The sequence below is a fragment of the Homo sapiens genome, chromosome 1, assembly GCF_000001405.40.
Source record: "Homo sapiens chromosome 1, GRCh38.p14 Primary Assembly".
NCBI lineage: Eukaryota > Metazoa > Chordata > Mammalia > Primates > Hominidae > Homo > Homo sapiens.
This window is the reverse complement of record NC_000001.11, coordinates 160,496,555-160,523,917: the sequence shown is the minus strand read 5'-3', so window position 1 is coordinate 160,523,917 and position 27,363 is coordinate 160,496,555. Positions and strand designations below refer to the sequence as shown.

At 38.0% G+C, this 27,363-nt stretch overlaps 1 protein-coding gene across 6 annotated transcripts in view, besides 1 other annotated feature; it reads left to right on the top strand.

The window, feature by feature from the left end:
* The first annotated feature begins 662 nt into the window (after positions 1-662).
* SLAMF6 (SLAM family member 6) overlaps positions 663-27,363 on the top strand; it is a 38,220-nt gene continuing 11,519 nt past the window's right edge. For 5 of the 6 annotated variants that reach the window (NM_001184716.2, NM_001184715.2, XM_017000216.2 and 2 more), the window contains exon 1: positions 663-774. In NM_001184716.2, coding sequence (NP_001171645.1) covers positions 726-774 — 49 coding nt within the window. In that variant the 5' untranslated portion in view covers positions 663-725. Of the gene's footprint in view, positions 775-16,324; positions 27,343-27,363 lie in introns of those variants that run through there. The other variant, XM_047443866.1, reaches the window with a different exon arrangement.
* Positions 829-878: an enhancer, noted in NCBI's record as "active region_1929". NCBI's record gives its function as "activates an Ori minimal core promoter by ATAC-STARR-seq in GM12878 lymphoblastoid cells {active_cell/tissue: GM12878}" and the evidence as "EXISTENCE:reporter gene assay evidence [ECO:0000049][PMID:35858748]".

The window sequence follows — 27,363 nt, the reverse complement described above, 5'->3', positions numbered from 1 at the left end:
AAGCCAAACAACGCATGTTCTCACTCATAGGTGGGAACTGAACAATGAGAACACATGGACACAGGTAGGGGAACATCATACACTGGGGTATGTCACGGGGTGGGGGGCAAGGGGAGGGATAGCATTAGGAGAAATATCTAATGTAGATGACAAGTTAATAGGTGCAGCACACCAACATGGCATATGTATACATATGTAACAAACCTGCACATTGTGCACATGTACCCTAGAACTTAAAGTATAATTTTAAAAAATCAGTTTTCTTTTGGCTTTTTCTTAGCTTTATACTTAAATATTTTTTTCTAATGTAATTAGAGTGGAATTGTTTTTTGAATTTTATTTTTGGATTACTCATAGCTAGTATATACAATTGCAATTGAATTTTATATTTTGATTTTGTATCTTTTCACCTTGCTGAACTCATTTATTTGTTCTAGTAGATTTTAGGAAATTCCTTACAGACTTTTACATATAAGTTTATGAAAGATGCAATAAAGGACTTTATCTTCTTTTCCAAAAAAAAAAAAAATTTGTGCACTTAGCTCAGAAAAAAGTAAACAAAAAATTAACACAGTTACAAATTAGGATTTTTAGTGCAGGGGAAGAAGTTGTCACCACGCCTCTAAGAGGAAGGGGAAGTCTCAGAAGTATTTTCAGTTTATGACAGAAGGGCAAAAACATTGACTGCCTCAAGGTCTCAAGCACCAGTCTTCACCGCGGAAAGCATGTTGTGGCTGTTCCAATCGCTCCTGTTTGTCTTCTGCTTTGGCCCAGGTAAATGTCAATCCAGATCGGTGTAGTCACTGAGTGACTCCCTGGTTTTGTGCAGCTTGCTCAACCTAAATCGTCTGTATACAGTTGTCTGGCTCTCTGCCAAGGGATTGGGGCGGGAAAGGGGACGCTGGCAGTGTTACCTGATATACTACTACCTCCTCTCAACTTTGGATGCGATAAGCCTGAGATGGTTGTCGGTGAACAATTTCAATTGTGTCTGCATGTAAGAAAGTTATTTGCTGGGGCAGAGGAAATAAGCTTTTGAAGACAAGACTGTTTGTGGTTTATGACCAGCATCTTGTGTTATAAAGAGTACCAAGACCAAGAAAATGGGCCCTCATACCAATGTATCTACTATCGTACTGTGAACCTCAGGGAGGTTACTTATCCTTCCTGAACCTCACTATCCTCATCTAAATTATTAAAAACCTATTATTCAGTTGAGCCAAATTTTCTGGGCCCAACCAAACACACCAAAAATAACCCTCTCACCTTTTGCTCATTGCAAAAAAAAAGGTTTCCATCTCTCCCCTCCTTTAGTGCAAATTAGGGCTAGCTAGTCCAGCAATGCATTATATATGGCAGTGAGAAAAGAATGAACTGATCCAGCTGGCTTCTTGTTTCCTGCTGTCCATTATATGGAGAAGATGAAGATTCATATCACATTTGGGGAACTACAAGTGGTCCACGGGAGACAAAGTGTAGCATTCAGGCAGAGATAGTCCAGGAGACCAATGGAAATCTAGTCCAGAGCTAGCCCAGGGTAGCAGATAAAAGTAGGAAGCATTCACTGAGCACTTATTGTATTTCAAGTATTGTGCCAGGTGCTGTACACACGTTATGAGTCTCATGAGAATTCTATGAATTTATACTATTAATATCTCCATTTTAAAATGAAGAACTGAGGTGAACTTAATTTAAATAATTTGCCCAAATTTCATTAGCCAGCATGCGACAAGCTCTTGTAATAGTTATGAGAAAAAATAACAGTTCAACAAGTGTGGCAGCAGCATAAGAGAAAGAAGAGACTGAAGCAAGAGATCCCATCAATATGGAGTTAAGTAGAGTAATTGGTAATTGGAATGAGAAAGGAATAAATATTCATTGAGCACCTACTGAATGCTTGGCACTCTTCTAGTTTGCATGAATACATCATGAACAAAGCAAGCAAAAATTCCTGCCCTCATGGAGTTAACATTTTAGCAGGAGACAAACTGTAAAAAAAGATAAACAAGTAAAATAGTGTATTGGGTAGGAAGAAATAAATCAAGAAGGAAAGGGAGAGATGAAATATGGTAAAGACGGCAGTGAAATTTCAGACAGGATAGCCAAAGAAAGTGACAAAATTGGAAGGTGGAGAGCAGCCACAGGAGGAAGGTGAGTTCAATTTTGGACCTACTGATTTTAGGATGTCAGTGTGCTATACATGAGGAAGTTACGTGGAGGATCCTGGGAACTTAGGACTAGGGGTAGAGCTGAGGCTAGAGACTTAAAAATCAATGGCATAGAGATATGTTAAGCTGAGGAGAAAACTGGAATGAGAACAGAACTTTGGGAAATATATATAAAATGCAGAAAGAGAGAGAATTCTTTCCTTCATTCAAGAGCCACTTCCTGATCTAGGAGCAGAATCTTGAGTTTTTGCTTCATTTTTACCACCCTGCAAAATTATTTCCACCTCTAGAATAAAATATTCTGAATGTCCTTGTGTTAAAACTCCTCTTCTTCTCCCTATTTCCATGAATACTTCTTATAATGACCCTATGAAATATACAGTGCTCCAATCTCCACTTCACAGATGGGGAAAGAAGGCACAGAACACTAAAGTAACTTGCTCACTGCCCCACATTTATGGGGGAAATGGGTATAGAAAGAGAAACACATTTGAATGAGTTTACAGGAGGCAGATGCAGGTGTTCTGAGACCCAGGAGGAGAGAAGTGGCTGCTAGAATTGGAAATCAGGAAGCTTGGCTCCGGAGTCTGTGCTCATAGCCACTTCACTATGCTACTTAGCTTACACACAGTCATACATTCACACAAATGTGTACATAATTAGAAAATGTGAGGCCAGCAAAAAAAATAAGCAGGGCACCTTCATAGAGAAAAACACGGGGACCTGCTTTGGACGGAGTGATGAAGAAAGGACTTCCTGGAAAAGTAACATCTCATCTGATATTTAAAGGGTGTGAAAAGTTAAACAGGAAAAGTCAAATGAAGAAGATTTTAGGGCAGAGGGAATCATGTGTGAAAAGCCGTGATGCAGGAAAGAGCCTGGAGTGATTTAGGAAGGGAAAGAAGACCACTGTTGCAAAAATGTGGGGCAAATGAAATTAATCTTTGAAACAACCATGAAAAACAATGACTCATGCCAGCCTACATTCTTTGAAGTGGGTTGGGCACTATCCTGACTCCTTTTAGAAAATTTAGTGGAAAAGACAAACCATATTGAAAAATAATCCCATTTCCTTTAACTCAAGCCCTGGGTGGCAAAACTAACAGAACAAAACAATAATTGTAAATAAAATCAAGCATCATGACTTCCTAGAGAAAATAAATCTCGTTTGTTTCTTCATTTTGATTTTTATAGATGGAAAGTTGGAAATTTGTCAAACTTAAATGTGCATATAAATTACTTGGGGGAATCTTATTAAAATGCTGATTGGGGAATAGGGACTGAGATTCTGCATTTCTAAGAGGCTCCCAGGTGACACCAATGCTGCCTGTCCATGGACCACACTAAGCAGCAAGGTTCTAAATTCCAATGGACTTCAGTCATACTGGGATTGTAGGGAGGAAGAAATAGAAACTAACTTTGAGTGTGTTTGCAGGAAGCAGATATAGGTATTCTGAGGTCCAGGAGAGAGCAGTGGTTGGAAATGTAAGTAAAGCAAACACATGAGGGCTGATTCTGAGGTTGAGTCAAAATGTGCAATGCTCTTCTGTGAAGAGATTGTGACCTGATGGCCCCCGAGCAGTGTTATCTACTTTTTACCAACCGTCCACATCTTTCAAATGTTTATTGTGCTCAACAGGCAGAGAGCTGTTTTATATTTTTTCATTATCCTCAGACACGTGTTTTTCCACCTCTCAGAATCTGCAATCTCCAATGTGACCTCCAGGTGTTCATGCCTCTGTTTTTGGTCCCTTAACCCAGATTCAGCTTTGATTGTTTCTCTGTTCACACTCAGACATTTTTTATTAAGGTGAAATTCTTGTAACAGGATGTAATAATTTTAAAGTGACATTTTGTACATTTTGTGAAACCACCACTTCTATTATTCTAAAACATTTTCATCACCCCAAAAGGAAACCCTGTACCCACTAAGCAGTCATTTCCCATTCTCCCCTCCCCCCCAGCCCCTGGCAAATACCGATCTGCTTTCTGTCTCTGTGGGTTTACCTATTCTGGATAATTTCATATAAATGAAATCACACAATATATGACCTTTCGTGTCTGACTTCTTTCACTTAGCATCATGTTTTCCAGGTTCACCTATGCTGAACCATGTATCAGTACTTCATTCCTTTTTGGCTGAATAGTATTTTGTATTCTGTATATACTACATTTTATTTATCCATTTATCTATCAGTGGACACCTGGGTTGTTTTTGCCTTTTGGCTCTTGCGAATAGTGCTGCTATGTGTACAAGTATTTGACTACCTGTTTTTATCTGGGTATATACCTAGGAATGGATTTGTCAGATCATATAATTCTATGCTTAACTTTTTGGGAAATTGCCAAACTGTTTTCCACAATGGCTGTACCATTTTACATTTCCACTAGCTGTGTACAAGAGTTATAATTTCTCCACATCCTCATCAACACTTGTTTTTTTCCTTTTTAAAAAGATTATTATCACCATCCTAATAGGTGTGAAGTGGTATATTATTGTGGTTTTGATTTACATTTTCCCAATGACAAATGATTTTGAGTATCTTTTTAAGTGTTTATTGGCCATTTGTATATCCTCTTTGGAGAAATGTCTATTCAAGTCCTTTGCCCATTTTAGTTGAATTATTTGTCTTTTTGCTATTGAGTTATAAGAGTTGTTTATACATTCTTGGAACCAGACCTTTAATACATGACCTGAAAATATTTTCTCCCATTCTGTAGGTTGTCTTTTCACTTTCTTAATAATGTTCTTTGATGCACAAAAGTCTTTAATTTTGATGAAGCACAATTTACCTATTTTTATCTTTTTTCTTTTTTATCATTTTATTTTAAGTTCCAGGATACACGTGCAGGATATGCAAGTTTGTTACATAGGTAAACATGTGCCCTGGTGGTTTGCTGCACCTATCAACCTCACCTAAGTATTAAGCCCTGCATACATTAGCTATTTTTCCTGATGCTCTCTCTCCCCCCTGCCCCACCCCCGACAGGCCCCAGTGTGTGTCATTCCCCTTCTTGTGTCCATGTGTTCTCATTGTTCAGCTCCCACTTAAAGAACATGCGGTGTTTGGCTTTCTGTTCCTGCATTAGTTTGCTGAGAATAATGGCTTCTGGCTTCATCCATGTCCCTGCAAAGGACATGATTTCATTCCTTTTTATGGCTGCATAGTATTCCGTGGTGTATACGTACCACATTTTCTTTATCCGGTCTATCATTGATGGGCATTTGGGTTGATTTCATGTCTTTGCTATTATGAATAGTGCTGCAATGAAGATACACGTGCAATGAACATGCACATACACATATCTTTATAACAATGATTTATATTCTTTTGGGTATATACCCAGTAATGGGATTGCTGGGTCAAATTGTCTTTCTGCCTCTAGGTCTTTGAGGAGTCCCCGCATTGTCTTCCAGAATAGTTGAACTAATTTACATTCCCACCAACAGTGTAAAAGAGTTTCTATTTCTCCACAGCCTTGCCAGCATCTGTTTTTTCTTGACTTCTAAATAATTGCCATTCTGACCTGTGTGAGATGGTATCCCATTGTGGTTTTGATGTGCATTTCTCTAATGACCAGTGATGTTGAGCTTTTTTCCATGTTTCTTGGCCACATAAATGTCTTCTTTTTTTTTTTAACACCTGAAGAGTAAGTTTAATGGAATTCATAGTTACAGATATTCAGAAAATATTTGTTGGGGGAACTAATTAATACATTTCTTTCTTTTAATTTTTATTTTTAGTTCTGGGTACATGTGCAGTATGTGCAGGTTTGTTACATAGGTAAACCTGTGCCCTGGTGGTTTGCTGCACCTACCAACGCATCACCTAGGTATTAAGCCCAGCATGCATTATCTATTTTTCTTAATGCTCTCCCTCCCCCAACCCCACTCCCCAAGAGGCCCCAGTGCATGTTGTTTCCCTCCCTGTGTCCATGTGTTCTCACTGTTCAGCTCCCACTTACAAGTGAGAACATGCAGTGTTTGGTTTTCTGTTCTTGTATGAGTTTGCTGAGGATAATGGCTTCCAGCTTCATCCACATTCCTGCAAAGGACATGATCTCATTCCTTTTGATGGCTGCATAGTATTCCATGGTGTATATGTTCCACATTTTCTTTATCTCGTCTGTCATTGATGGGCATTTTGGTTGATTCCAGGCCTTTGCTATTGTGAATAGTGCTGCAATGAACATATGCATGCATATATCTTTGTAACAGAGCGATTTATATTCCTTTGGGTATATACCCAGAAATGGGATTGCTGGGTCAAATGGTATTTCTGGTTCTAGATCTTTGAGGATTTGCCACACTGTCTTCCACAATGGTTGAACTAATTTACATTCCCAACAGTGTAAAAGTGTTCCTATTTCTCCAGAACCTCACAAGCATCTGTTGTTTCTTGACTTTTTCATAATCACTATTCTGTCATGAGATGGTAATTTATTGTGGTTTTCAATTGTATTTTTCTAATGATCAGTGATGTTGAGCTTTTTTTCATGTTTGTTGGCTGCATGAATGTCTTCTTTTGAGAAGTGTCTGTTAATGTCCTTTGCTCGCCTTTTAATGGGGTTGTTTGATTTTTTTCTTGTAAATTTGTTTGAGTTCCTTGTAGAATCTGGATATTAGACCTTTAACAGATGAATAGATTGCAAAAATTTTCTCCCACTCTGTAGGTTGCCTCTTGGCTCTGATAATAGTTTCTTCTGCTATGCAGAAGCTCTTCAGTTTAACTAGATCCCATTTGTCAATTTTTGCTTTTGTTGCAATTGCTTTCAGTGATTTCATAATGAAATCTTTGCCCATGCCTATGTCCTGAATGGCATTGCCTAGATTGTATTCTAGGGTTTTCATAGTTTTGAGTTTTACATTTAAGTCTTTAATCTATCTTGAGTTAATTTTTGTATAAGGTGTGAGGGAGGGGTCCAGTTTCAATTTTCTGCATATGGATAGCCAGTTCTCCCAGCACCAGTTATTAAATAGTGAATCCTTTCCCCATTGCTTGTTTTTGTCACGTTTTTTGAAGATCAGATAGTGGTAGATGTGCAGTCTTATTTATGGGTTCTCTATTCTGTTCCATTGGTCTATGTGTCTGTTTTGTACCAGTACCATGTACCGTGCTGTTTTGGTTATTGCTGCCTTATAGTATTGTTTGAAGTCCAGTAGCATGATGCCTCCAGCTTTGTTCCTTTTGCTTAGGATTGTCTTGGCTATATGAGCCCTTTTTTGGTTCCATATAAATTTTAAAATAGTTTTTTCTAATTTTGTGAAAAATGTCAATGATAGTTTAATGGGAATAGTAGTGAATCTATTAATTACTTCGGGCAGTATGGTCATTTTCATGATGTTGATTCTTCCTATCCATGAGCACAGAATATTTTTCCATTTGTTTGTGTCCTCTCTGGTTTCCTTGAGCAGTGGTTTGTAGTTCTTTTTGAAGAGGTTCCTTCACTTCCTTTGTTAGCTGTATTCCTAAGTATTTTATTCTCTTTGTAACAATTGTGAATGGGAGTTCATTCATGATTTGGTTCTCTGCTTGCCTGTGTGTGTTGTATAAGAATGCTTGTAACTTCTGCATTGATTTTGTTTCCTGAGATCTTGCTGAAGTTGCATGTGAGCTTAAGAAGCTTTTGGGCTGAGATGATGGGGTTTTCTAGATATAGGATCGTGTCATCTGCAAACAAAGATAATTTGACTTCCTCTCTTCCTGTGTGAATATGCTTTATTTCTTTCTCTTGCCTGATTGCCCTGGTCAGAACTTCTAATACTATGCTGAATAGGAGTGGTGAGAGAGGGCATCCTTGTCTTATGCTGGTTTTCACAAGAAATGCTTCCAGTTTTGCCCATTCAGTATAATATTGGTTGTTGGTTTGTCATAAATGTCTCTTATTGTTTTAAGATATGTTCCATCAATACCTGGTTTATTGAGAGTGTTTAACATGAAGGGATGTTGAATTTTATAGAAGGCCTTTTCTGTGTCTATTAAGATAATCTGTGGTTTTTGTCTTTAGATCTGTTTATGAGATGAATTACATTTATTGATTTGCATATGTTGAACCAGCCTTGCATCCCAGGAATAAAGCCAACTCGATCAGGGTGGATAAGCTTTTTGATGTGCCGCTATATTTGGTTTGCCAGTATTTTATTGAGAATTTTTGCATCAGTGTTCATCAGGATATTGGCCTGAAGCTTTCTTTTTTGTTGTATCTCTGCCAGGTTTTGGTATCAGGATGATACTGGCCTCATAAAATGAATTAGGGAAGGGTCCCTCCTTTTCAATTGTTTGGAATAGTTTCAGAAGAAATGGTGCCAGGTCCTCTTTGTACCTCTAGTAGAATTCAGCTGTAAATCCTTCTGGTCCTGGGCTTTTTCTTTTAGACTATTTATTACTGTCTCAATTTCAGAATTTGTTATTGGTCTATTCAGGGATTCAGCTTCCTCCTGGTTCAGTCTTGGGAGGGTGTATGTGTCCAGGAATTTATCCATTTCTTCTAGATTTTCTAGGTTATGTGCATAGAGGTGTTTATAGTATTCTCTGATGATTGTTTTTATTTCTGTGGGGTCAGTAGTGATATCCTCTTTTAACATTTTTTATTGTGTCCATTTGATTCTTCTCTCTTTTCTTCTTTGTTAGTCTAGCTAACTAGCAGTCTATCTATATTATTAGTTTTTCAAAAAACCAGATTCTGGACTCCTTGATTTTTTTGAAGCATTCTTCTTTTATCTATCTCCTTCAGTTCTGCTTTGATCTTGGTTATTTCTTGTCTTCTGCCAGCTTTGGAGTTTGTTTGCTCTTGGTTCTCCAGTTCTTTTAGTTTTAATGTTAGCATTTCAATTTGAGATCTTTCTAGGTTTTTGATGTGGGCATTTAGTGCTCTAAATTTCCCTCTTAACAGCTGCTTTAGCTGCATCCAGAGATTCTGATACATTGTCTCTTTGTTCTCATTGGTTTCAAAGAACTTCTTGCTTTCTGCCTTAATTTCATTATTTAACCAGGAGTCATGCAGGAGCAGGTTGTTCAATTTCTATGTAGCTATGTGATTTTGAGTGAGTTTCTTTGTCTTGAGTTCTAATTTGATTATGCTGTGGTCTGAGAGACTGTTTGTTGTGATTTCAGTTCTTTTGTATTTGATGAGGAGTGTTTTACTTCCAATTATGTGATCAATTTTAGAGTAAGTTCCATGTGGCAATGCATAGAATGAATATTCTGTTGTTGTAGGATGGAGAGTTTTGTAGAGGTCTATCAGGTCCACTTGATCTAGAGCTGAGTTCAAGTCCTGAATATCTTTGTTAATTTTCTGTCTGAATGATCTGCCTAATATTGACAGTGGATGTTAAAGTCTCCCGCTATTATTGTGTGGGAGTCTACATCTCCTTGTACGTCTCTAAGAGCTTATTTTAGGAATCTGCTTTTGTATTGGGTGCATACATATTTAGGATAGTTAGTTCTTCTTGTTGAATTGAACCCTTTACCATGCCTTTCTTTGTCTTTTTTGGTCTTTATTGCTTTAAAGTCTATTTTGTCAGAAACTAGGATTGCAATCCCTGCTTTTTTCTGGTTTCCATTTGCCTGGTAGATTTTCCTCTATCCCTTTATTTTGAACCTATGTGTGTGTTTGCATGTGAGATGAGTCTCTTGAATACAGCACACCAATGGGTCTTCACAATTTACCCAGCTTGCCATTCTGTGTCTTTTAAATGGGGCACTTAGCACATTTATATTTAAAGTTAGTATTGTTATGTGTGAATTTGATCCTGTCATCATGATACTAGCTAGTTATTTTGCAGACTTATTGATGTAGTTGCTTCACAGTTTCATTGGTCTTCATTGTGTACTTCAGTATGTTTTGTAGTGGCTGATAATGGCTTTTCCTTTCCATATTTAGTGCTTCCTTCAGGAGCTCTTGCAAGTCAAGCCTGGTGGTGGATGAATTCCCTCAGCATTTGATTGTCTGAAAAATATTTTATTTCTCCTTTGCTTATGAAGCTTCATTTGGCCAGATATGAGATTCTGGGTTGAAAATTCTTTTCTTTAAGAATGTTGAATATTGACCCCCAATCTCTTCTGGCTTGTAAAGTTTCTGCTGAGAGGCCTGATGTTATTCTGATGGGCTTCCCTTTGTAGGTGACTTGGCCTTTCTCTCTGGCTGCCCTTAACATTTTTTCCTTCATTTTGACCTTGAAGAATCTAATAATTATGTGTCTTGTGGTTGATCCTCTCATGGAGTATCTTACTGGGTTCTTTGTATTTCTTGAGTTTGAATGTTGGCCTGTCTTGCTAGGTTGGGGAAGTCTCCTGGATGATATCGTGAAGTATGTTTTCCAACTTTGTTTCATTCACCTGTCTCTTTCAGGTACCATAATCAGTTGTAGGTTCGGTCTCTTTACATAATCCCATAATTCTCAGAGATTTTGTTTGTTCCTTTTCATTCCTTTTTCTCTAATCTTGTCTGCCTATTTTATTTCAGCAAGATAGTCTTCAATCTCTTAAATTCTTTCCTCCACTTGGTCTATTCGGCTATTGATACTTATGATTGCATTGTGATGTTTTCATGTTGTGTTTTTCAGTTCCATCAAGTCATTTATGTTCCTCTCTAAGCTGGTTATTCTGATGAATAGCTCCTGTAATGTTTTATCCTGATTCTTAGGTTCTTTGCATTGAGTTAGAACATACTCCTTTAGCTCGGCAAAGTTCATTATTACCCACCTTCTGAAGCCTACTTCTGTCAGTTCATCCTTCTCAGCCTGAGCCCAGTTGTGTGCCCTGCTGGAGAGGTGTTACAATCATTTGGAGGAGAAGAGACACTCTGGCTTTTTGAGTTTTCAGCATTTTTTATTGATTCTTTCTCATCTTCCTGAGTTTATCTAGCTTTGATCTTTGAGTCTGCTGATCTTTGGATGGGCTTTTTGTGGGGACTTTTTTGTTGATGCTGTTGTTGTTGCTTTCTGTTTGTTTTTCTTTTAGCAGACAGGACCCTCTTTTGCAAGACTGCTGCAGTTTGCTGGGGGCCCACTCCAGATCCTATTCACCTGGGTCCCTCCCCACCCTGGTGGTGTCACCAGTGGAGGCTGCAGAACCGCAAAGATGGCTGCCTGCTTCTTCCTCTGGGAGCTCCGTCCAAGAGGGGCACCAAACTGATGACAGTGGGAGTGCTCCTGTATAAAGTGTCTGGTAACCCCTGCTGGGGAGTCTCACCCAGTCAGGAGTCACAAGATAAGGGACCCACTTAATGAAGCATTCTGTCTGTCCCTTGGCAGAAAGGATGTGCTGTGGTGGGGGGGATCCTACTTATCCAGACTGCCCAGATTCCTCAGAGCCAGCAGGGGAAAAGACTAAGTCTGATGATCCACAGAGTCCGCAGCCCCAGTACCCACAGGGACTCAATCCCAGGGAGATCAGGGTTCTGTCCATAAACCCTTGGCTGGAGTTGCTGAAATTCCCACAGGGAGGTCCCATTCAGTGAGGAGGGATGAGTCTGGGTCCAGCCTAAAGATGCAGTCTGGCCACAGTCTGCCACAGCTGCTGTGCTGCACCATGGGGAATTCCTCCTGGTTCCAAACCACCAGTCCCTCTGGCACTGGCAGGGGAAAGCAGCAGACAGAAGCTGCAGTGATGGCTGCTGCCCCTTCCCCCAAGAACTCAGTAGTCTTAGACGGTCTCCAGCCAAGTGGCAGCTGAGAATCTGCACAGCTCTGTGCTTGGGATCCAAGGCCCTTGTGGTGTTGGCTCACGAGGGGATCTCCTGGTCCATGGGTTGCACAGATCCATGGAAAAAGCATGGTTTCCTGGGTGGGGTAGCACAATCACTCACCACTTCCCTTGGCTGGGGGTGGGAGCACCCCTTGCCCCATCAGCTTCCAGGTGGGCTGTTGTTCCACCCTGTTTTCCTCACTCCCTGTGGGTCATGCCAACCACCTAGTCAGTCCCAATGAGTGAGCCTGGATACCTTAGTTGCTGGTGCAGGATTCACTCACTGTTTTCGTTCTTCTCAGTGGGATCCTCCAACCACAGCTGTTTCTAGTTAGTCATCTTGGCCCCTCCCCACATTTTATCTTTTCTTACTTATGCTTTTGGTGTCATATATCAGAATCCATTCCCAAATCAAAAATCATGAATATTTATCATTATGTTTTCTTCTAAGAGTTTTAGCTCTTATATTTAGGTGATCGATACATTTTGAGATAATTTTTGCATATAATGAGAGGAAGGGGCCCAACTTCATTCTGTTGAATGTGGATATCCAGTTGTCCCAGCACCATTTGTTAAAGAGAGCATTCTCTCCCTATTGAATGATCTTAGCACTCTTGTCAAAAATCACCTGGCCATAAATGTTTGGGTTTATTTATGGACTCTCAATTTAATTTCATATAGACATCTATAAGTTTATCTTTATGCCAGTACCACACTGTTTTGATTACCATATCTGTATCAGTTTTGAAATTGGAAAGTGTGAGTCCACCAATTTTGCTTTTCTTTTACAATATTGTTTTGGCTACTTGGGGCATCTTGAAATCACATATAAATTTGAGAATTAGCTTTTCCATTTATGAAAAAAAATCAACATTTTGATAAGGATTGCATTGACTCTATAAATTGCTTTTGGTGGTATCGGCATATTAATATTATCTTCCAATTAATGAACATAGGATGTATTTCCATTTATTTAGATTTTCTTTCTTTCAGAAATGTTATTTAGTTTTCAGTGTATTATCTTGAACTTCTCTGGTTAAATTATTGCCAGGTATTTTGTTCTTTTGAATGCTACTGTACATGGAACTGCTTTTCTTAACTTCTTTTTCAGATTGTTCATTGCTAGTGTGTAGGAACAGAACTGATTTTTATACATTGATTTTGTATCTTGCAACTTTGCTGAATTTATTTATTAGCTCTGATCATTTTTGTGGATTCTTTAGGATTTTCTATTTTCAACATCATGTTATCTGTGAATAGGAATAGTTTTACACATTCTTTTTCAATTGAGATGCATTTTATTTATTTTTCTTGCCTAATTGCTCTGGCTAGAACTTCCAGTTCAATATTAAATAGAAGTGGTGAGACTGGGCACTGTTGCCTTTTCATGCTGTTATTTGAAAGGCTTTTAGTCTTTTATCCTTGAGTAAAATGTTAGCTGTGGGTTTTCATAAATGCCTTTTATCAGACTGAGGAAGTTCCCTTCTATTTCTAGATTCTAAAGTGTTTTTATTTAAAAGGTGCTGGTTTTTTTCAAATGTTTTTTCTGCATCAACTAAGATGGCCATTAGTCTATTTTTCTTCATTCTGTTAATATCATATACTGCATTGATTGGTTTTCATGTATTGAACCACTTTTGCATTGCTGAGATAAATTCTACTTGGTCATGGTGTATAATCCCTTTAATATGAGCTGGATTCAGTTTGTTAGTATTCTGTTGAAAGTTTTTGCATCAATATTCATAAGGGATATCAGTCTGTAGTTTTCTTTTTTCTGATATTTTTGGCTTTGGTATCAGGGTAATGCTGACCTAGTAAAATGACTTAGGAAGTGTTTTTCTCCTCTTCTATTTTTGGGAAGAGCTTGAGAATAATTGAAACTAATTATTCTTTGAATAATTAGTAGAATTTACCAGTGAAGCCATCTGGATTTTCTTTGTCAGGAGGTTTTTGAGTACTGATTCAATCTCTTTTCTTGTTATAGGTCCTCTTTAATTTTTTATTTCTTCTTAAGTCAGTCTTGGTATTTTATGTGTTTCCAGAAATCTATTTCATCTAGGTTATTCAATTTGTTGGCATATAGTTATTTATAGTGTTCTCTTAATCCTTTTAGTTGTTATTTCTATAAGATCTGTAGTAATGTCTCCACTTCTATGTCTACTTTTAGTAATTTGAATCTTTTCTATTTTATTCTTTGTCAATCTAGCTAAAGGTTTGTCAATTTTGTTTATCTTTTCAAAGAACCAACTTTTGGTTTCATTGATTATTTCTCTTGTTTTTCTATTCTCTATGTTATTTATCTCTGCTCTAATTTTTATGATTTGCTTCATTCTAATAGCTTTGGGTTTAGTTTGCTCTTCTTTGTCTAGTTTTTTAAAGTGTAAATTTCCTCCTTCTTTATTTTTTTAATATACTTTAAGTTCTAGGGTACATGTGCACATCGTGCAAGTTTGTTACATAGGTATATATGTGCCATGTTGGTTTGCTGCACCCATCAACTCGTCATTTACATTAGGTATTTCTCTTAATGCTATCCCTCCCCCAGCTCCCCACCCCCTGACAGGCCCCAGTGTGTGATGTTCCCCACCCTGTGTCCAAGTGTTCTCATTGTTCAATTCCCACCTATGAATGAGAACATGTGGTGTTTGGTTTTCTGTCCTTGTGACAGTTTGCTGAGAATGATGGTTTCCAGCTTCATCCATGTCCCTACAAAGGACAAGAGCTCTTCCTTTTTTATGGCTGCATAGTATTCTATGGTATATATGTGCCACATTTTCTTAATCCAGTCTATCATTGTTGGACATTTGGGTTGGTTCCAAATCTTTGCTATTGTGAATAGTGCCACAACAAACATACGTGTGCATGTGTCTTTACAGTAGCATGATTTATAATCCTTTGGGTTTATACCCAGTAATGGGATGGCTGGGTCAAATGGTATTTCTAGTTCTAGATCCTTTAGGAATTGCCACACTGTCTTCCACAATGGTTGAACTAATTTACACTCCCACCAACATTGTAAAAGTGTTCCTGTTTCTCCATATCCTCTCCAGCATCTGTTGTTTCCTGACTTTTTAATGATAGCCATTCTAACTGGTGTGAGATGGTATCTCATTGTGATTTTGGTTTGCATTTCTCTGATGACCAGTGATGATGAGCATTTTTTCATATGTCTGTTGGCTGCATAAATGTCTTCTTTTGAGAAGTGTCTTCATATCCTTTGCCCACTTTTTGATGGGATTTTTTTTTTCTTGTAAATTTGTTTAAATTCTTTGTAGATTCTAGATATTAGCGCTTGGTCAGATGGGTAGATTGCAAAAATTTTCTCCCATTATGTAGGTTGTCTGTTCACTCTGATGGTAGTTTCTTTTGCTGTGCAGAAGCTCTTTAGTTTAATTAGATCCCATTTGTCTATTTTGGCTTTTGTTGCCATTGCTTTTGGTGTTTTAGTATTGAAGTCGTTGCCCATACCTATATCCTGAATGGTATTGCCTAGGTTTTCTTCTACAGTTTTTATGGTTTTAGGTCTAACATTTAAGTCTTTAATCCATCTTGAATTAAATTCTGTATAAGGTGTAAGGAAGGGATCCAGTTTCAGCTTTCTACATATGGCTAGCCAGTTTTCCCAGCACCATTTATTAAATAGGGAGTCCTTTCTCCATTTCTTGTTTTTATCAGGTTTGTCAAAGATCAGATGGTTGTAGATGTGTGGTGCTATTTCTGAGGCCTCTGTTCTGTACCACTGATCTATATATATGTTTTGGTACCAGTACCATGCTGTTTTGGTTACTGTAGCCTTGTAGTATATTTTGAAGTCAGGTAGTGAGATGCCTCTAGCTTTGTTCTTTTTGCTTAGGATTGTCTTGGCAATGTGGGCTCTTTTTTGGTTCCATATGAACTTTAAAGTAGATTTTTCCAATTCTATGAAGAAAGTCATTGGTAGCTTGATGGGGATGGCATTGAATCTACAAATTACCTTGGGCAGTATGGCCATTTTCATGATATTGATTCTTCCTACCCATGAGCATGGAATATTCTTCCATTTGTTTGTGTCCTATTTTATTTTGTTGAGCAGTGGTTTGTAGTCCTCCTTGAAGAGGTCCTTCACATCCCTTTTAAGTTGGATTCCTAGTCTTCCTTCTTTCTTTCAGAGGGATAAAAATATCCCTCTGAGCACTACTTTTGCTCCATCCCATGTTTTGGTAAGCTTTGTTTTTGTTTTCACTTGGTGTCAAGATATATCCTAATTCATCTTGTTATTTCTTCTTTGATCCATTGATTATTTTACACTATGTTAATTATGACATATTTGTGAATTTTCCAATTCTCCTTCTGTTCTTGATTTCCAGTTTTATTCCATTTATGGTCATAGAAGACATCATATATTTAAGTCTTTTATAATTTATTGAGACTTGTTTTTGTGGCCTAATATATGGTCTGTCCTATGAGAACGACTTATGTGCATTTGAGGAAAATGTATATTTTGTTGTGTTTGGATGTAGTGTTTTTCATATATATGTTAGGTATTGTTGGTTTATAATGTTTTCCAAGTCCTCTATTTCCTTATTGATCTTCTCTCTAGTTGTTTTGACCATTATTGCAAGTGAGGTATTGATGTCTCCAACTATTACTGTAGAACTATCTATTTCTCCCTTGAATTTTGTTACTGTTTGCTTTATATATTTTGGGGCTGTTGTTTGGTGCATATGTGTTTATAATTGTTATAACTTTTTGCAGGGTTGACCCTTTTATTAATGTATAATGTCCTTTTTTGCCTCTACTAATAATTTTTGACTTAAAGTCTATTTGCCAATATTAGTATAGCTACTGTAACTCTCTTTTGGTTACTACTTGCATGGAATATCATTTTCCATCTTCTTCTTCTAAAAGTATTTGTGCCTTTGAATCTAAAGTGAATCTCTGTATGTAGAAAATAGTTGAATCCTGTTTTTTCAATTCATTCTGCCTATCTCTGCATTTTAATTGAAGAGTTCAATTCATTTACATTTAAAGTAATGACTGATATGTAAGGACCTACTTCTTGCATTTTGCCATTTCTTTTCTGTATGTCTTAAACCTTTTCCCCTCAGTCCCTCCACTATTCTATTCTTTCATGTATAGTTTATATTTTTAAGTTTAGATTCCTTTCTCATTTCCTTTCCTGTATTTTTAGTTATTGTATTGTTATCCTCAGTGTTACATTTAACCTCTTCAACTTATAACAAGCTATTTTGAATTCACACTACCTTAGCTTCAATAATATACAAACACTGTGCTCCAATGTTGTTTCATTCTGCTGCCTTTACGTTGTTGTAACAAACTACATCTTTGTGCATGTGTGCTCATTAACAGATTTATAATTATTGTTTTACTCATTTGTCTTTTAAATCATGTGGGAAAAAGGAGAAGTTGCAAAGCAAAAATGCAAGAATACTGGCTTTTGTATTAATCTATGCAGTCAGATTTACCTTCATTCTTTGTTTCTTGGTAGGGATTTGAGTTACTTTCTAGTGTGATTTTATTTCAGCCTGAAAGATTCCCTTTAGTATTTCTTACAGTACAAGTCTACTAGCAATAAACTCTATCTGCTTTTGTTTATCTGCAAATGTCTTAACTTCTCCTTCATTTTTGAAGGATAATTTTTTCAGATGTAGAATTCTTGGTTGATGGGTGTTTTTTTTTCTTTCAGCACCTTAAATATGTCATCCCACTGCCTCCTGGCAATCATGGATTCTTCTGAGAAATTGGCTGTTGATTTTATTGAGCATGACTTGTACATGACTAGTTGCTTTCTCTTGTTGCATTTGAGACTCTCTCCTTGTTTTCATTTTTCTGGTTTGATTATAATATGTCTTGTTATGGATCTCTTTGTGATCATTCTTCTTGGAGTTCATTGACTTTCTTGGATGTATAAATTCATGTCTTCTATAAAGTTTGGGAAGTTTGGGGCCATTATTTTTTCAAATATTATTTATGCCCTTTTCTCTCTCTCTGCTCCTCCTTGGACTCCTATTATGCTTATTTTTTGGTATTTTTGATGGTGTCCCACAAATCTCTTAAGCACTGTACATTTTTCTTCACTCTTTTCTTTTCTGATCCTCAAACTGGATAATTTCAATTGACCTAGCTTTGAATTAGCTATTTCTTACTTCTGCCTACACAGAGCTTCTGTTGAAAGCCTCTAGTGAATTTTTTATTTCAATTATTGTATTTTTTCAGCTCCAGAATCTCTACTTGGCTCCTTGTTATTATTTCTATCTTTTAAAAATATTCTCTTTTCTTTATATATCCTTTTCTTGATTTCCTTTAGTTCTTTGTCCATTGTTTCCTTTAGCTTTTTGAGCATATTTAAGATAGTTGAGGCCAGGCAGGGTGGCTCATGCCTGTAATCTCAGCACTTTGTGGGGGCCGAGGCAGGTAAATCATTTGAGCCCAGGAGTTCAAACCAGCCTGGGCAACATAGTGAAACTGCATCTCTACAAAATATTTTAAAAATTAGCCAGGGATGGTGGCATGTGCCTGTAGAACCAGCTACTCAGGAGGCTGAGGTGGGAGGATGACTTCAGCCCAGGAGGCAGAGGTTGCAGTGAGCTGAGATCACACCACTGCACTCCAATCTGGGCAACAGAGTGAGACCCTGTCTCAAAAAAAGACAGTTGACTTAAAGACTTTGTCTAGCAAATCCAGTATCTGTCCTTCCTTAGGGACAATTTCTGTTTATTTCACCTGTGAATGGGTCACACTTTCTTGTTCTTCACATGCTTTATAATTTTTTGTTGAAACTAGATATTTTTAATACCATAATATGATAACTCTGGAAATCAGACTCTTCCCCTTCCTCAGTATTTTGTTTTGTTCCTTGCTCTGGGTTGTAATTCTTGTTTTTTTAGTGACTATTCTAAACTATTTTTGTAAACATATTATTTGTCACATGTAGTCTCTAAAATGTCTTTTTCTTTAGCTTATGGTCAACTAGTGTTTTGACAGATATTTCTTTGAACACCAGAAGGAATAAACAAACAAATAAATAAATAAATTCTGTGCTTGTCTTTGCAGATTGGCTCTGTTTTGGGGCACTCCTTTAATGCCTAGACAGGCTACCACTCTGCGTTAGCCTTGACTTTCTTCTTGTACCCAGCATAATTATCAGCCATAGATAAAATCTTAGAGTCTTCTCAGAACTTTTCTAAGTATGCACCCTGCCCTAGGCATGTATGTGGCTTTCCAAATTCCCTGGTATAAGCAGACATTTTCTTAATGCCTGAATTCTTCTAAGAATCTTTCTCCCCAGCTTTTCTTCCCAGGCATTCGACATATCTATTTTTTGCCTCCACTATAATGTTTTGCCCCAGGTATTGATGGGTTATTCATTGCCTTTCAGTGTTTATGAGAAATGTCCTCTGCATGGCTAATTTTCTACCTGAAAGAGAGGTAGTTGAGACAAAGACAAGTGCTTTTCCTCAGTTTTTTAGGGAGCATCCAGATAGTTGAAAACAGACAAATACAATTCTTTCAGAACCAGTTCTGCTCTATGCCTGCTGGAACCAGTGACCATGGTCTCCTACTGAAAATGTAGACGGCTGTCTTCAAGACTGCTATCAAGTTGGAGAAAAAAGATCGGGGAAAGGGCAATCAAACATTCTGCAAAGCTCCCCAATGATTTTTTTTTAATTGTGTATATCTAAGCTGTACAACATGACATTTTGATATATGCAGTGAAATGGTTACCCTAGTCATGCAAATTAACATATTCATTATCTTGCACTGTTACCCTTTTTGTGCAAGTATGGTAAGAGTATCTAAAATCTACTCTGAGCAAATGTTCGGTATACAATACAATAATATAAGTATAGCCTTCATGTTGTATATTAGATTCCTAGACTTATTTACCCTACATATCTGCAACTTTGTACCCTGTGACCTACATCTCCCCATTTCCTCTCTGTTCCCTCTCTCCACCTCTGATAACCACTGCTTTATACTTTGTTTCTATGTATTTGGCTTTTTTTAACTCCTTTTTTTCTTTTGCTTTTTTTTTTTTTTTTTGAGATAGAGTCTCACTCTGTCACCCAGGCTGGAGTGCAATGGCATGATCTCAGCTCACTGCAACCTCTGCCTCCCAGGTTTAAACAATCCTCCCCAGCTGGGACTACAGGCATGTTCCACTCTGCCTGGCTGATATTTTTGTATTTTCAGTAGAGACAGGGTTTCACCATGTTGGCCAGACTAGAACTCCTAGCATTTTTAAGTTGCCTCTTTTTTTGACCCATCATTTGTTTGGTTGCTATAAACCTTTGACTAGTTTCTACAGTTCTGACAAAGTTGATTCTGACAATGTTTGCTCACTCTGTGTGTGTTCGCATGAGTGTGCATGTTTTTTGTGGAGGGATGGACCCTTGCAGTTATTTATTGTGCCATTTTGACTAATGTCACTGACCCTCAGACTTTAGGCCAGCAATTTCAACAAAGTAGTCACCATTCCCCTGAAATCCCTCTCCCCTTTGATGCCACACCTACCTATACTATGCCTATTGCTAATATTAGGTGATCCCCAGCACCTTCTTTCCCTGTTCCTGGGCTACAAGTGCTATAATCATTGGAGAAAGTTATTAGTGTGGTGCAAAAGTGATTGCGGATTTTCCCATTGAAGGTAATGGCAAAATCCGCAATCACTTTCGCACCAGCCAATGCAAAACTGGATGGACTCCATGAATGGTGCGTGTCAACCAAGCTTGGCCAATTCCTCCTCACTGCTTCCACACTCATTTATTGATGACTTGTCAGTTTCCTAACAAATTCCTCATAGCAGCTTTTACATGTCTCATCCGTCTTCCTCTAGATTCTATGAGATCTACTTCTCTTAGAACAACTTTGAGAAAAACATAAGCGAAATATTCCAACTTCTTCCCCTTTACCCTCTAAATCTTTTGAGATCTTTAACCTTATTCTTTTCAGTCTCAAAAGAAAAGGAGAACCACGTCTACCCAAGACTAACCTCTTCACTTATGCTCCTAAGCCCACCCTGGCTTCCTCCTCAGAAATGACACCGTTTTGAATACTCCCTTTCACCATATCTTAAGTTTTTTCTTTTTCTCCCAGCTGCTTCCCTTTGCTCCAAATTTGCTCAGGACTCTGTTACCTAAAGAGTAACTTCCATTTGTCCTACCTTCTCAATATCCTGACTATGTTTCTCCTCCCTTCTCTTTAAATTCTCTTGAGAAATCAGCCCCTACTCTCTTTCATACTGCATTTGCCTCCTGTGGAGCTAACACAGCTTGCTATATTCCTGTTAGCTATAGATGGGCCTAAGCTAGTCCCTCAGGTTAGAAACCCAAAGTTCCTTGACTTTTCTCTCTTTTTCAGAATCTGCTTAGTTCTACCTCTCTCCTCTCTTTCCTAAGACACTGCTCTCTTTATACTTTGCCAATTTTCAAAAATACTTCATGTTTTTTAATACCTTCCAAACTAACCCTCCACTAATCAGGTAACCCTTAAAAACTTCTCTATTCTAATTCCAATCTACTTAACATTCACTGAGTTCCCTGGACCAGGTTATGGGGAAATACAATGCTGACTAAGATATTATTTGAGTTCCCCAAAACACATCATACAGTAGATGAAACTTGTAAACAAATGTACCCCAAATGTCTGCTGTCTTGACATCCTCACCAGTGGATGGGCAAGACCTCAGCATCACCTTCATGTTGCAAGGAGTTCCCCAGTGACTTATGAGAGTCTCAAAGGAAAGCTTCCCATGAGTCCCCAAAGCAGCCTACGAGTTGTAGCCAACATGAGGCATCTTTCCCATTCTTAATCTCCTTTTCTGGTTCTAGTCCCCCACACAGGATGCCAGCAGAGCCATTTAGATGCCCTGCTTATTCCAAGAACATCAATGTCCATGCCAAGGGTGCTGGTCCCGGATGCTCCCAAAGCATCAGTGTTGATTCCTGGCAGAGCAGAGAAAAGGACCTCCATGTGCCCTCTGGGCCACACCACAACACCTTGGCCCTGAAGCAGCTCTGCTCCTGTCCAAAGTCTCATGCAGGGTCTTTTAAACATTTTCAGTAGCATCTGACCTTCACTGTCCCTAAGCATATTGTCTCAAATCTAGTTTTGCTTTGGTTTGGTTTTGGGTCTGTGGGGAACTATTCCTACCATCTCATCCATCCTGTGCTCCTTCTCCCTTTGCTTCACCACAAACTCCTTTCTCCCCTTCCCCATGTACCAATGCAAAACCCCCATAAATATAAGAGGCAAACAGATATTTTAGCTCATCCTTGAAGGATAAATAGGAGCTTACCATGTAGGAAAGATGAAGAAAGGCATTTTAAGCAGAGGGAAAAGCAGTGCAAAAAAAAAAAAAAAGCAAGGCATTATTGGAAGAATTACAAATAATTAAGTAATGGAGAACTCATAGCTTTTATTCAAGACTTTGCTACAGTGTCATCTCCTGTGAACTGTTCCCTGACAACTCCCAACTCTTCCCAGTTCATGATTCTCTAAATTTTTGCTCCCATGGAGCACATATCTCTAACAATTCAACATTTATTGAGCTAGAAATTGTGTGCTAAGTTCTAGGAATATAGAAATAATAATCAGAATCCCTGACCTCAAGATTATGGAAAAGAAAAGAAAATAATCTTGTAATTATAACAAAGAGAAAGAACTGCTTGCAATTGCATGTATAACTGCAATAGTGATACGAGGGCAATGCAGAGGCAAGCCTTACACTAGCTCAATGCCCAACCCACCACATCAGAACTAACTACTCATTTACCTGTCAGGCTCCTCTATCAGATGATGGACCCAGAGGACTGACAGTATCTTATATTCCCAGTTTCCAGTCTAGAAACTGGTACATAAAACAGACCTAATAAATATGCCATGGTTCCTAAGGTTTTACTAATTGAATTAGCATGGAAGTTAGCAAATATTAGAATATTTGAACACCAGAATGAATAAACAAACAAACAAATAAATAAATTTCTGTGCTTGTCTTTGCAGATTGGCTCTGTTTTGGGGCACTCCTTTAATGCCTAGACAGGCTACCACTCTGCCTTAGCCTTGACTTTCTTCTTGTAAGCAGCATAAATAGCCATAGATAAAATCTTGTTACATAAACTAATTATTTCAATCTATAAAATCAATGGAACTTAAACAAGCGTTCCAGGCAAGGGAAGAACAGCTCCTGGTGAGTCCTTAGGCCACTGAGTAAGCCCAGACTCCCTACCAAAAGGAACTGAGCTTTAACATTCTAGACAGAAAACCTCCAAGAGAAGGGATGGAGATATGTCCATTCACTCAGTAAATATTCATGGGATGCTTACTATGTGCCAGGTGCTGTTCAAGAATGTTCACAATAGTAGACAAAACAGACAAAAATCTTTGTCTCCATGGAGATTACATTCTAGTGGAGAGGTGAGAAAATAAACAAAAACAAATATTTAAATTATAAAGTATACTAGATGGTAAGTACTAGATGGTAAATCCAAAGGCAGCTGGATGTGCAAGGGTGGATGGGGGCTGATGGTGCAAAAAGAGTGGTCACACTTCTTTAAATTCTCTGAGCAGGAATGTTTGCATTAATGACTTTATGGAGGCAAAAGAGTGAGCTGCATGGATACTTGGAGAAAGTACATTCCAGACAGAAAGGATTGCAAATGCAAAAGCCCTGGCCTGCTCAAGGAATAGCCAAGGGGGCTGGAGCAAAGTGAACAAGGGGGAGAATATAGGAATTAGGTCAAAGAAAGAGAAATGGCCAGATCATTTTGGTCCTTATAGACCATAGACATGATTTTGTTTTGCTCTGCTTTTGTTACTGTTTTAACTTTTTAAACTGAAATACAAAGAGAAAAACTATACGAATCTTAAATGTCAGCTCAATGAATTATCATAAAATGAACAAATCTGTGTAGCCAAATACAGATCTAGAGATAGGACATTATCAGTATTCCAGGATCCTTCCTTTATACTCCCTCCTATTCACCACCTCTCCCTCCTCAAAGGTAACCACTCTCTTGACTTCTGACAGCATAGATTTGTCTGTTTATCAACTTTAAATAAATAGAATCATATATTTGTATTCTCTGGTATCTGGACATTCTGCTCAAAATGTTGCTTGTGGTATTCACCCATGTGATTCAGAGGAAAGAGGAATAAAGATGACAAATAACAGTGTGTTAAAATGCTGATGGGAAAGATGTTGATGACAGCAATGTTCATGTGCCTGGAACCCATATGACAATTCATGAAAGAGAGAGGAAGTGCAAGCTCACCCAGGAGCTGAGCACTAGGACTCCAAGAGACATTTCCTTCCCTATTCAGCTCCTCCTATAAGAAATAAGAAACCCTCAGAAATGACAACTTTCCATGCTCATGGATTGGAAGAATCAACATCGTTAAAATGGCCATACCACACAAAGCAATTTCTAGATTCAGTGCTATTCCTATCAAACTACCAATGTCATTCTTCACAGAATTAGAAAAACCATTCTAAAATTCATATGGAACCAAAAAAAGAGCCCAAATAGTCAAAGCAATTCTAAGCAAAAACAAAAAATCCAGAGACATCACACTATCTGACTTTGAACCATACCATAAGACTATAGTAACCAAAACAGCATGGTACCGTTACACAAACAGACACATAGACAACTGGAAGAGAACAAAAAACTCAGAAATAAAGCCACACCCTTACAACCATCTGATTTTTGACAAGGCCAACAAAAGCGAGCAATGGGGAAAGGACTCCCTGTTCAATAAATGGTGCTGGATAACTGGCTAGCCATATGCAGAAGATTGAAACTGGACCCTTACCTTTAACCATATACGAAAATTAACTCAAGATGGATCAAATATTTAAATGTAAAACCTCAAGCTATAAAAATCCTAGAAAAAAATAGGAAATACCCTTCTTGACACTGGCCTTGGCAAAGAATTTTTGGCTAGGTCCCCAAAAGCAATTGCAACAAAAACGAAAATTGACAAGTGGAACCTAAGTAAACTATAGAGCTTCTGCACAGCAAAAGAAACTATCATTACCGTAAACAGACATCTTACAGAATGAGAGAAAATATTTGCAAACTATGTACCCAACATAAGGTCTAATATCCAGAATCTATAAGGAGCTTAAACCAATAAGCAAAAAGACGAATAACCCCATTAAAAAATGGGCAAAGGACATGAACAGGCACTTCTTAAATGAAGATATACAAGCACTCAGCAAACATGAAAAAATGCTCAGCATCAGTAATCATCAGAGAAATCCAAATCAAAACCACAATGAAATACCATCTCACACCAGTCAGAATGGCTATTATTAAAAAGTCAAAAAAAAGAACACAATAGATGCTGGTTTGGTTTTTGATATGGTTTGATTGTGTCCCCACCCAAATCTCATCTTGAACTGTAGAGCTCCCATTATTCCCACATGTCATGGGAGGGACCTGGTAGGAGGTAATTGAATCTGGGGGTAGGTCTTTCCTGTGCTATTCTCATGATAGTGAATAAGTCTCATGAGTTCTGATGGTTTTATAAAGGGGAGTTCCCCTGCACATGTTCTCTTTGCCTGCCACCATGTAAGACGTGACTTTGCTCCTCCTTCACCTTCCACCATGCTTGTGAGTGCCATGGCCTCCCCAGCCATGGGGAACTGTGAGTCAATTAAACATCTTTCCTTTATAAATTACTAGTCTTGAGTATGTCTTTATCAGCAGTGTGAAAATGGACAAATAACACTTTTTTGACTTTTTAATAATAGCCATTCTGTCAGAATGACAGCTGGAAGAGAACAGAAAATTCAGAATACACTAATACACTTTTTTGTATTTTTGTATAGCCATATGCAGAAGATTGAAACTGGACCCTTCATTCTTTCAGAATGTCTATTATTAAAAGTCAAAAAATAAAAAAAAAACAGGTGCTAGGTCCCACTTGGTGAGGTTGCAGAGAAAAGGAAACAGTTATACACTGTTATTGGGAAATATAAATTTTCACTGTGGAAAGCAGTTTGGAGATTTTTCAAAAAACTTAAAACTGAGCTACCATTCAACCCAGCAATCCCATTACTGGGTATATAGCCAAAGGAAAATAGATCATTATACCAAAAAGACACATGCACTTGTATGTTCATACTATGCTATTCATAATAGCAAAGACACAGAATCAACCTAGGTTCCAATCAATGATGGATTGGATAAAGAAAATTTGGTATATATACACCATGGAATACTAACCAGCCATAAAAAAGAATTAAATCATGTCTTTTGCAGTAACACGGGTGGAGCTGGAGGCCATAATCCTAGCACACCAACACAGGAACAGAAAACCAAATACTACATGCTCTCACTTATAAGTGGGAGCTAAACACTGAGCACACATGGACATAAATATGGGATTAATAGACGCTGTGGACTACTAGAGGGGGAAGGAAGGGAACAGGTAATGGGTTGAATAACTACCTATTAGTTATTATGTCCACTATCTGGGTGTGATATACCCATGTAACAAATCTGCACATGTACCCCCATATCTAAAATAAAAGTTGAAATTTTTAAGAAAAAGAAGCAAGAGATCCTGAGAAGGTTGAGGTAATTGTTATAGTTATTCATTCATTGACCCACTAGAACATTTCCACAGACTCTACTATGTGTCAGACATGGTGCTGAGTACTGACATGCAAGGCTAATTAAGGCGTGGTCAGTTAGACAAACAGGTGAACAAAACTACAAAATAGTGTAATAATTGCTAAGAATTTGGGAAAGGATGCTAAGGAAGCATCTTCTTTAAGAATCATTGTGACCATTTCACCGTTTTTGCTTAAACATTGATAGTTCTGAATAAGTTCACAAGAATGTGGCCATCATGTGTTACTTTGAAATTATATTTATTATTTCTATATGTATCCATTTTGTCTCCTCAATAACTAAACTATAATCTTTCTGAGAGAATTAAAAAAAAATCTTCTGGTATCATGAAGACAGCACAAAGTCACTGGAGTCAGAAGACCTGGGTTTGAATCCTGACTCTGCTATTCTTTAGCTGTGCAACCCTGGGAAAATTAGTTAACTTTTCTGTAGCTCAGTTCCTTTATCTATAAATGGAAGTAATAATATCCATCCTGCCTGCCTCACAGACTGTAGTCAGCGTCAATGAAATAATATATAAGAAGAACTGACTATCCTATAAATCCCTGATATTAGTCCCTGTTACCAGCCTTCTAAGTTGCACAAGCCTACTATGTTGGACACACAGTAAGTAATCAGTAAATATCAGGCTTTAATTATGCTTTATTAGCAAAGACTTGCAGTTTTTGGAGTCTATAGTTTCCTGTCCCCCTCAACCTAATGTCCAAGGACTTCAGAGGCTAGGATCACAAAGTATAGTTATGACCTAGGAGTGACCAGCCAGTGTAGGACCCAGCGTGGACTGGGCCGGTTTCATCTAGACTAGCTGCCTACTAACCAAGAGTGGCTGACATTTTGCTGGAGGTGAAGCTCTGGGACTGTGAT